At 42.4% G+C, this 11,151-nt stretch overlaps 1 long non-coding RNA gene across 6 annotated transcripts in view, besides 1 other annotated feature; it reads right to left on the bottom strand.

Annotated features, from left to right (window-relative positions):
* The window catches only part of PLCL2UT (PLCL2 upstream transcript), a 49,186-nt gene that overhangs the window by 3,775 nt on the left and 34,260 nt on the right, over positions 1 to 11,151 (bottom strand). For 5 of the 6 annotated variants that reach the window (NR_199589.1, NR_199588.1, NR_199587.1 and 2 more), the window contains one exon: positions 4,703 to 4,959. This is a non-coding gene — a long non-coding RNA (PLCL2 upstream transcript). Of the gene's footprint in view, positions 1 to 2,283; positions 2,471 to 4,702; positions 4,960 to 11,151 lie in introns of all 6 variants that reach the window. The other variant, NR_199590.1, reaches the window with a different exon arrangement.
* Positions 182 to 756: an enhancer, noted in NCBI's record as "OCT4-NANOG hESC enhancer chr3:16810328-16810902 (GRCh37/hg19 assembly coordinates)". NCBI's record gives its function as "activates a minimal SCP1, AML or CMV promoter by ChIP-STARR-seq in naive H9 embryonic stem cells {active_cell/tissue: H9 hESC(naive)}" and the evidence as "EXISTENCE:reporter gene assay evidence [ECO:0000049][PMID:30033119]".

The following is an 11,151-nucleotide window of genomic DNA, read 5'->3' as shown; positions in this document are numbered from 1 at the left end:
TTTTCCAGTGGGTATTTTCCTCTGTTTTGATGTCTGGGTTGTCCTCAACTGTGATTGTTAAGTTCATTTCTAGCACACAGATAACAGCACTGGACTGTATTTTCCAAATTAGCTTTTAGCCCTTTCCCTCTCTAATACCACTGAATGAAGGCTAATGAACACTCTCACCCATAGTGTGTGCTATCATGGATATACTTTAACATTGGATGGACAAGTTGAGCCGGTATCCAAATTAGGCCCTTGTTATTTACTTTCAAGCCTTCCTTATTTAAAGCAACTCCCTTGCTTTCTGCACTTTTCTCATTCAAGGACTATATTGGGGCCTAAAGCCTGTTAAATCTATTTGAGGAATTAGAGGTGTCTGGAATTCAATGCTGGCTAAGTGCCAGGCAGTGTGGTCTGCAAAGGCATTCCCTTTGCTATTTTGAAATTGCTGTGTTGATGGCCAAGACAATGCATTACAGCAACCACCTGTAGAGCCTTTATTGCTTCTAGTAATTCCAGTACTTGTGTGGCATATTTAATTTCAGTATTGACAGCCTTCAGTAATCCCCTCTCCTTCCAAATGTCCCCATGAGCATGGACTATCATGAATGCATATTTAGAGTTAGAATCAGCATAGATGTTGGTGTTTTTACCTTGGGACAACTGCAGGCTCTTATAAGGGTGATTTGCTCTGCCTTCTGTGCAGAGGTTCCCACGTAAAGTCCTTGCCTCTGCTACCTCTTAAGAGGTCACCATAGCATATACAGCATTCTTTCTTCCATTGGTTACCAGGCTGCTCCCATCTATGAAAAATGTCCAATCTACATGCAGCGTGGCTGTATTCTTCAAATCAGGATGGCTGGAAAATACTTGATCAATAACTTATAAACAATTATGCATAGGTTGTTTTGGTTCTTTGGTAGGAAGAAGTAAAGTAGCTGGGTTCAGGGCTCTGGTGGTTTGTAATTTCACTGTGGGGTCATTTAAAAATGGCCTGGCATTTGCCTAACTTGCTGCTGTCAGCCAATAGTCTCCCTTTTGTTCCAGTGGCACCAGCACTTGGCAAGGCACATAGACTGTGACAGGCTGTCCCAAAGTTAGCTTCTCAGCTTCCTTTAACAGCAGGCTGGTGGCAGAGACTGCCCTTAAACAAGGGGGTGGGCAGCCTTTGGCCACAGTCACCAGCTGCTTAGAAAAGTAAGCTACTGGCTGTAATATTTCTCCTAACTTTTGGGAGAGGACCCTGAGTGCCAGACCCAGTCTCTCATGATTGTACAGTTGAAAGAGCTTGTGAGGATTTGGAAGCCCCAAGACTGGTGCAGAAATTAACTTACATTCAGTTGTTTGAATGCATGTTGGTGTTTGTTTCACTTCCCAGTTGAAGGGATCATTGTCAGCCCCTTTCAACAGCTCATATAGTGGCTTTGCTGGCAGTCCATAGTTAGGAATCCAAATGCAACAAAACCCTGCCATACCCAGAAATCCTCTCAGCTGTCTTCTAGTAGAGGGTGTGGTGATGGAGGCAATTGCATTTCATGTTTCCACCATCGAGGCTCTGGTTCCCTTCTGCAAGAGAAACCCTAAGTACCCCACAGTTTTTCTGCATATTTGAGCCTTTTTACTTGAAACCTTGTACCCATGGGTTGCTAGGTGATTTGGAGTTTTAATGGTATTATTTTGACATCCCCATTCACAGGGGCTAGATATTAGTAAATCATCCATGTATTCTAACAACACCCCATTTTCCAATTGTAAACTTCTTGAGTCTTGAGCCAAGACTTCTCCGAATATAGTTGGAGAGTTTTTAAACCCATGTGGGAACACAATCCAATAACACTGAAACTGAGTTGCGGCTTCAGGATCTGTCCATTCAAAGACACACCGCAATTGACTTTCTATGCGTACAGGTATGCAAAAGAAAGCATCCTTTAAATCCAATACTGTAAACCATTCACGATCTCCAGGAAGAGAAATAAACACAGTACATGGGTTAGCTACAGTGGGATGTACATCTTCTACAATGTCATTAATTGCCCTTAAATCTTGTACAAATTAAAATTTGTGTGAGTGAGGCTTTTTCACCAGCAAAATTGGAGTGTTGTAAGGAGAATGATGGGGTACTATTAGGCCATACTACAAGAACTGGACAAAGACTGGTTGAATGCCTTCTAGTGCTTCTCTTTTTAAAGTGTATTGTTTCTTCTGGACTGGCTAGGCTCCTTCCTTAATTTTAATTTTCACTGGGTCCACACTGATGGCCTTCCTGGGCCCATGTGAAGCCCAAATCTCTGAGCTTACCTTGTCAAGGATTTCCTGTGGAATAGTCCCTGTTTTAGAGTTGGAAGCCTCTGAGTCTGTTAGGAGCGCCTGCAGCTGAAACCCATGTTCCAGAGGCACTTGGGAGACACATCTGGTGTTTCTCGGGATTACAGACTTACATAGCAGGTACATAGCAGGTCTCTGCCAAGTAAAGGGACTGGGAACTCTGGCACATAAAGGAATTTAAGAGTATTAATTCATTGCCCACTTTACAAGAGAGGGGACACAGGAACCATTCCGATCTTAGTTCTCTGCTTATCCCAACCACATTAACAGAAGTATTAGAAAGTCCAGTTACTGGGGTGTTAACCACTGAATAAGGAGTGCCAATGTGGACTAAGAAATCCACTTTTTGTTTCTTTACTGTCAATTTTACCCCAGGCTCCTGTGGGGAGATTTTAATATCAGATAGGGTTGGAGCTGTTGGGGGCCTTGGGCACCTTCAATCTTCCTCAAATTCATTTCCAGGCTTAACTCCCATCAGTGATTTTGGTTCACTCTGGCTTAATTTTGGACAACCTTGTCCCAATGTCCTGTTTCCCAGCAGCAAGCACATTGATCCTTTTCTATTTTTCCTCTCCATTTTTGGAATCTCTTTCCTTTTGGATTTCCTCCTGCTGTGGCTAGAAGTATTGTTGCCTGTCACAGGTTTTTAACTTCCCTGGTTTCTCTGCTGTTATAAACCTTTAATGCAATATCAATCAATTGGGAGGCATTCGTCCCAAAGGCCCCTTCTATCTTTTGGAACTTTTTCCTGATATCAGGGGTACTTTGCCCTATGAAAGTCATATTAACCATATTGACATTTTCAGGATCTTGTAGGGGTCTGTATATTTTCTGAACACCTGACAATATGTTCCATGAACTCAGAGGGTTCCTCATTAGGTTTTTATTGGAGCTGCTGTACATTGTTTAAGCTCTTAGGTTTAGGCATTCCAGATATCATGCCTTTTTTTTTTTGTTTGAGACGGAGTTTTGCTCTTGTTGCCCAGGCTGGAGTGCAATGGCATGATCTCGGCTCACTGCAAACTCCGCCTTCCAGGTTCAAGTGATTCTCCTGCCTCAGCCTCCCGAATAGCTGGGATTACAGGCATGCACCACCACGCCCAGCTAATTTTGTATTTTTAATAGAAACAAGGTTTCTCCATGTTGGTTAGGCTGATCTCGAACTCCTGACCTCAGGTGATCCACCCGCCTTGGCCTCCCAAAGTGCTGGGGTTACAGGCATGAGCCACCATGCCCAGCTGATTTCATGCCTTTTAATATGTATCTCCTGTAGTGTTCCAAGTGAACCATGCCAGCCGCATTGGCCTCATTAGGGTACCAACTTGGGTCCATAGAGAGGATTGCCCTATCAGAATCTGGAGTATCATCTAGGTCCTCATCATAAAGGTGTTGCACTTCCTCTTTTGCTTTGTCTAAAACTAGCTGCCACTCATCTGCAGTGAGCATAATATTCAGGAGGGCTTACACACCTGCCCATGTGCTACAATGAGTAGCAAATATAGTAGTATATAATTCAGTCATTTTCTGGGGATCCTGTCTATATGAAGGATGTTTTTCCAATTTAACAAGTTGGATGTGGAAAAAGGATTGTAGGCCCAATAATATCCAGCCAGAGCTCCTTGCTGATTAACCCCTACTGGGTATTGTCATAGTGGAAATTGCCCTGCTCCAGGGTCAGTGACCTCCCCAAATTAGTACCTTGCCTAGTTCGAGAGGGAGACACTAACTCTGCGGCTTCCTTATATTCTGGGGGCAGTAACTCTTCCTTTCCTTGCCTTAGCACTGGAGCAGTAGCTACTATAGGGGTTAAGAGCATTTATTAACTGTTGGGTTTCTGAGTCCTTTCTTCCTCCCCTTAGGAGTCAGGACAAACCTTAGCAGTGTATTGTACCATTAACTTATTCCCTTCTTTCTTAACATCCTAATCATACAGTAACATGGATGCCAGGACATATGGCATTTCCCCCCATTTTCCCAACCGTTGGCAGAATAGTTCTAACTGAGAGATGGTGTGAAAGTTCAAGGTCCCACAAACTGGCCACCTTTCTTCAGACTCTAAAACATACATTGGCCAAGCTATGTTACAGTAAAAGATTAATTTCTTTTTAGTCATGGGTGGATAACCATATTGTTTCCAATCTGCCAGAATTCTCCCTAGGGGGCGATGGGCAGGAACAGAGACAGTGTTTCCCATCTTGAGTGCTCAAAACTTAACAGATAACAGACACACAAAAACAGATTCTCACAGCCAAATGTAAATATATTTCAAACAAATGCAAAGTAGATGTACAAATTAGCCCTATTGTCTCCTTAAGGGTACCAAAATGAATGGCTTTGCAAGCCCCGATAAGGAAGACAATAGACTCCCTGCTTATGATCCAGTTTTACTCACCCCTTCAGTGTCCTAGCCCCTGTTCTACCCCAGTAGCAAGGGGATGGGTGGTCCTTTTGCCCAGGGAAAGTTCTCAGAAGCGTCCTCAGGACAAACTGTACCTAGCAGCTGCTGGGAGTCTCCTAAAGACCGTCAGGTCACAAGCCTCTAGCTGCTGAGGGCAGCTCTGTCCCAGTGGAGCTGCCAGATTTTGTACCCGGATAAAACTGAGGTGTGGCTGCTTGGTCTTATGGTCCAATTAATGAGATGCAGATTACCTGGAAATAAGAGAGTTTATTTCTGTAAGCAGCCACAGGGAGAAGGTCAGGGAAGTTCATCAGATCAACTGAGAGTTACAAGTTTTTTTTCAGTGCTTATATACATTCAAGTTATATGTCTACATGCGAGTGTGCACCTACCAGCAAGAGTGTTTCATTCAATCTAATCTTTAACTATGTTCTAGGGCCTGGAAAGTTTCTTTAGAGCCCTGGACAAATTACTTAATCTTAAGTGGGCCCTGGTACAAGATGTGTGTAAGAATGCCTTCATCAGCCAGGAGTGGAGGCTCACGCCTGTAATCCCAGCAATTTGGGATGCCAAGGTGGCCTGGTCACCTGAGGTCGGGAGTTCGAGACCAGCCTGACCAACATGGAGAAACCCCGTCTCTACTAAAAATACAAAATTAGCTGGGCGTGGTGACGCATGCCTGTGATCCAAGCTACTCAGGAAGCTGAGACAGGAGAATTGCTTGAACCCAGGAGACATAGTTTGCAGTGAGCTGAGATCACGCCATTGCACTCCAGCCTGAGCAGCAAGAGCTAAACTCTATCTCAAAAACAAAAACAATAACAAAAAAGAGAAAAATGCCTTCATCATTGTATCAGTCTTTAAGGTCTGAGAAAGCCCAGGTGGGGTCTTGATGGGTTTGTTTTTACATTTCAGCCCTTGTACTAAGGCAGCAGTTTCCCTAGTTCCTAATATTTAACTTATACATTCATCAGAATTATAGTAAAGGATTAGTGGAAACTGACTGTTCTGGTTGCTAATGAAGACCTGGCCTGCCACACACCCACGGGCCATTTCCCCTGTGTGTGTGTCTCTCTCTTTCTCCCTCCTTAGGCCTCTCTATTCCCTGAGACGACATTGAAATTAGCCCAGTTAATAACCCTGCAATGGCCTCTAAGGGCTCAAGTGAAAGGAAGAATCACAAGTCTCTCGCTTGAAATAAAAAACTAGAAATGATGAAGCTTAGTGAGGAAGGCATATTGAAAGCTGAGACAGGCCAAAAGCCAGGCCTCTGGTGGCAAACAATTAGCTAAGTTGTGAATGCAAAAGAAAAGTTCTTGAAGGAAATTAAAAGTGCTACTCCAGTGAACACATGGATAAGGCCTTTCTGAAATACCCTTACTGCTGATTTGGAGAAAGTCTGCGTGGTTTATACAGAAGATCAAACCAATCACAACATTCCCTTAAGCCAAAACCTAATCCAAAGCAAGGCCCTAAACTCTCTTAAATTCTATGCAGGCTGAGAGAGGTGGGAAAGCTGCAGAAGAAAAGTTGGAGAAGCTGCAGAAATCAGTTCATGAGGTTTAAGGAAAGTAGCTATCTCCGTAACATAAAAGTGTGAGGTGAAGCAGCAAGTTCTGATGTAGAAGCTGCAGTAAGTTATTCAGAAGATCAAGCTAATATCATTGATGAAGGTGGCTATACTAAACAACACATTTTCAGTGTAGATGAAACAGCCTTCTTTTGGAAGAATATGGTGTCTAGAAGTTTCATAGCTCAAGAGGAGAAGTCAATGCCAGGCTTCAAAACTTCAGAGGTCAGACTGACTCTCTTGGTAGTGGCTAAAGCAGCTGGTGATTTTAAGTAGAAACCAATGCTCATTTGCCATTTTGAAAATCCTATGACCCTTAAGAATCATGCTAAATATACTCTGCCTATGCTCTATAAATGGACAAAAAAGGCTGGATGACAGCATATATCTTTGCACATGACTGAATATTTTAAGCCTACTGTGGAGACCTACAGCTTAGAAAAAAAGACTCCTTACAAAATATTATTGTTTATTGACAATGCCCCTGGTTACCCAAGAGTTTTAATGGAGATGTACAAGGATATTAATGTTGTTTTCCTGCCTGCTAACACAGCATCCATTCTGTAGCCCATATATCAAGGAGTAATTTTGACTTTTAAATCTTATTATTTAAGAAATACATTTCAAAAGGCTATAGCTGCCACAGATAGTGATTTATCTGATGTAACTGAGTAAAATGAATTGCAAACATTCTGGAAAGAATTCATCATTCTAGATGTCATTAAGAACATTCATCTGTGTGAAAAGGTCAAAATATCAACAGTAACAGAAGTTTGGAGGAAGTTGATTCCAACCCTCAAGGATGCTTTGAGGGGTTCAAGACTTCAGGGGAGGAAGTAACTGCAGATATGGTAAAAAAAAAACAAAACAAAACAATAGCAAGAGAACTAGAATTAGAAGTGGAACCTAAATGTGTGATTGAATTGCTGCATTCTCATGATGCAACTTGAATGGATGAGGAGTTACTTCTTATGGATGAGCAAAGAAAGTGGTTTATTGAGATGGAATCTACTCCTGGTGAAGATGCTGTAAACATTGTTGATATGACAACAAAGGAATTAGAATATTACATTAACTTAGTTGAAAAAGCAGCAACATGGTTTGAAAGGATTGGCTTCAATTTTGAAAGAAGATCTACTCTGAGTAAAGTGTTATCAAATAGCATCACATTCTATAGAGAAATTTTTCATGAAAGGAAGAGTCAATCAATGTGGCAAGCTTCAATTTAAGATGTCTTATTTTGTGAAATTGCCACAACCAACCTAACCTTCAACATCACCAGCCTGACCAGTCAGCAGCCATCAACATCAAGACAAGATCCTCCACTAGCAGAGATTACAACTAGCTGAAGGCTCAGATAATTATTAGCAGTTTTTGGCCATAAAATATTTTTTAAATTAAGGTAAATGTATTTTTTCAGATGTAGTGCTACTGCAGTATAAACATAATTTTTATATTCACTGGAAAAAAATTTGCGTGAGTCATTTTATTGTGATACTCACTTTACTGCAGTAGCCTGGAACCAAACCCACAATATCACCAAAGTATGCCCCTACATATGCATATAAAATGTCTTCAGACATACTCAAGAAATTGACAGTAGCCACAAAGTCTGGAGAGTAAAACTAAGGAATGTACTTCCTCAAAATTCTTCAAATTAAATTGTCAACATGAGCACATATTGATTTTATGATTTGAAAATTAAAATTGGAAAATTTATACAATTAACTTAAAAAGTGGATCAAGGCCAGGCACAGTGGCTCACACCTGTAATCCCAGTACTTTGGGAGGCCCAGGTGGGCGGATGACCTGAGGTCAGGAGTTCGAGACCCACCTGGCCAACACGGTGAAATTCTGTCTCTACTAAAATACAAAAACCGGCTGGATGTGGTGGCGGGCGCCTGTAATCCCAGCTACTCGGGAGGCTGAGGCAGGAGAATCACTTGAACACCCAGGACAGGAGGTGGAGGTTGCAGTGAGGTGAGATGGCACCCCCGCACTCCAGAGCCTAGGCAACAGAGACAGACTCCATCTCAAAAAAAAAAAAAAAGAAAAAAAAAGAAAGAAAAAGAAAAGAAAAAAGTGGATCAAAAAATTAGGTAGAAATATAGTGAAATATTTTTAAAATTGTACTTGAGAATGTACACCAGCAAATTACCAATTATTCTTATATTTCTTCTGTAATGATTTGTTTCTAAATACAAGTATGATTTCATAAGTCAAGAAGAATTAAAATGGAGTAAAATTCAGGATAAGATTTGTTAGTGAAAGAAGCCAAACTCAAAAGGCTATATACTGTATAATTTAAATTAAATAGCATTCTGGTGAGAGGAATGGAGCAAGATGGCAGAATAGAAGTCTCCACTGATTGTCTTCCCCACAACGACACCAATGTAACAATTATCTATACACAGCCAAGCACCTTCATAAGAACCAAAAATCAGGTGAACACTCACAGTACCTGGTTTTACTTCATAGCGCTGAAAGAAGCACTGAAGAGGTAGGAAAAACAGGCTTGAATCACTGACACCACCTCTTCCCCATCACCAAGCAGCAGTGGCGTAGTGCTGACAGTGTTTCTGTGTCCTGGGGAGAAGGCGAGCCAGCAATGAACTCAGTGCTGCCCTTGTTACAGCAGAAAGCAAAACTGGACCAAACTCAGCTGACACCTGCTCATGGAGGGGGCATTTAAATCAGCCCTAGCCAGGGGGGGAATCACCAATCCCAGCAGTTGGAACTAGCTCCCATAAGCTTCACCGCCACAGGCTAAAGTGCTCTAGGGCTCCAACTAAACTTGAAAGGCAGTCTAGGCAATAAGGACTGTAATACCTAGGTGAGCTCTAGTGCTGAACTGGGTCCAGAGACAGTGGACTAGGGGTCCACATGACCTACTAAGACACCAGCCAGGGCAACTAAGGGAGTGCTGGCATCAACCCTCCCCTAATGCCAGGCTGCACAGCTCATGGCTTCAAAAGAGACCTCTTCCTTCCACTTGAGGAAGAGAGATGGAAGAGTGGGGAGGACTTTGTCTTGCATCTTGGATACCAGCTGAGCCACATCAGGATAAGGTACCAGTCAGAGTCATGAAATCCTCTTTCCAGGCCCCAGCTCCCAGACAACATTTCTAGACACACTCTGGGCCACGAGGCTATCCACTGCCTTGAATGGAAGGACCCAGTCATGGCAAAATTCATCACCTGCTAACTGAAGAGCCCTTGGCCCCTGAATACCCAGCAGCAATACCCAAGTACTGTGTCAAGGGCTTTGAATGAGACTCAGACTTGCTAGCTTCAGATGAGACACAGCAAATTTCCAGCTGTGGTGGCTGTGGGGTGAGACCCTTTCTGCTTGAGAAAAGTGGAGAAAAAAGTTAAGGGACTTTGTCTTGCACCTTAGGTAGCACCTTGGCCAGAGGTGGGTAGAGCAAAAAGAGGGCTCTTGGGGTCCACAATTCTAAGATTTGGCTCTGGTACAGCATTTCCGGACCTGCCCTGGGCCATACAGGAGCCCATTCCTCTGAAGGGTGAGTCTCAGATCAGGCAGTATTCACCATAAGCTGACTGAAGAGTCCTTAGCCCTAAGGGAACATGAGCAATAGTCTGGTAGTACTCCTCATGGGCCTGAGGTGGTGGTGGCCACAAAGTGAGGCTTCTCTGCCATTGAAAAGAAGAGGGAAGAGTGGGAAGGACTGTGTCTTATGGTTTAAAAGTCAGCTCAGCTGCAGTACAATGGAGCATCAGGTACACATCTAAGGTTTTTGACTCTAGTCCCTGGCCCCCAGTTGGCACCTCTGGACTTGCCCAGGCCCTGGGGAAGGATATAAGCCTGGCTGGCTTTGCCACTTGATGATTGTAGAGCCTCAGGGCATTGAGCAAACATAGGCAGTAGTCAGGGAGTGGTTGCAACAGGTTTTGGGAGAAACCCAGTGCAGTCCTAAGGGTGGTAGCTATAGACGTGTTTTTGTCACTCCACTCCCAGCTCCAGGAGGCTTGTAACAGAGGGAGAGAATTGATTTGTTTGGTAGAAAGTAAGTGAAGAGAACAAGAGTCTCTGTCTAGTAATCCAGGGAATTCTTCAGGATCTTGCCCAAGACCATAAAGGCAGTACCTCTGCTAATCTGCAAGAAACCACAGTGTTACTGGTCTTGAGGTTCTTCCTAAGGCAGATACAGCTTAGATCACAACACCCAAGTCCTTTCAAATATCTGGAAAGCTTTCCAAGGAAGATGGGTACAAATAAATCCAACTGCAAAGACCTAAATAATACCTAACTTTTCAATACCCAGACACAGACAAACATCTATAAGCATCAAGACTATCCAGGAAAACATGACCTCACCAAAGAAACTAAGTAAGGCACCAGGGACCAATCCTGGAGAGGCAGAGATATGCAATCTTTCAGACAGATAATTCAAAATAGTTGTTTTAAGGACACTAAAAGAAATTCAAGATAATACAACAAAGGAATTCATAATCCTATCAGATAAATTTAACAAAGAAATTGAAATAATTTTTAAAAATCAATCAGAAATTCTGGAGCTGAAAAAATGCAATTGATGTACTGAAGAATGCATCAGAGTCTTTTAAAAGAAGAATTGATCAAGCAGAAGGAATTAGTGAGCCTGAAGACAAACTATTTGAAAATACACAGTCAGAGGAGACAAAAAAAGAATGAAAAACAATAAAGCATGCCTACAGGATCTAGAAAATAGCCTCAAAGGGCAAATCTAGGAATTATTGGCCTTAAAGAGAAGATAAAGAGATAGGGGAGGGGTAGAAAGTTTATTCAAATGAATAATAACAGAGAACTTCTGAAACCTAGAGTTAAATATCAGTATCCAAAGACAAGAAGGTTACTGAACACTAAGCAGATA

The sequence above is a fragment of the Homo sapiens genome, chromosome 3 (genome assembly GCF_000001405.40).
Source record: "Homo sapiens chromosome 3, GRCh38.p14 Primary Assembly".
Lineage (NCBI taxonomy): Eukaryota > Metazoa > Chordata > Mammalia > Primates > Hominidae > Homo > Homo sapiens.
Note: the sequence above shows the minus strand (reverse complement) of the source record. Positions and strands in the feature narration are given on the sequence as shown.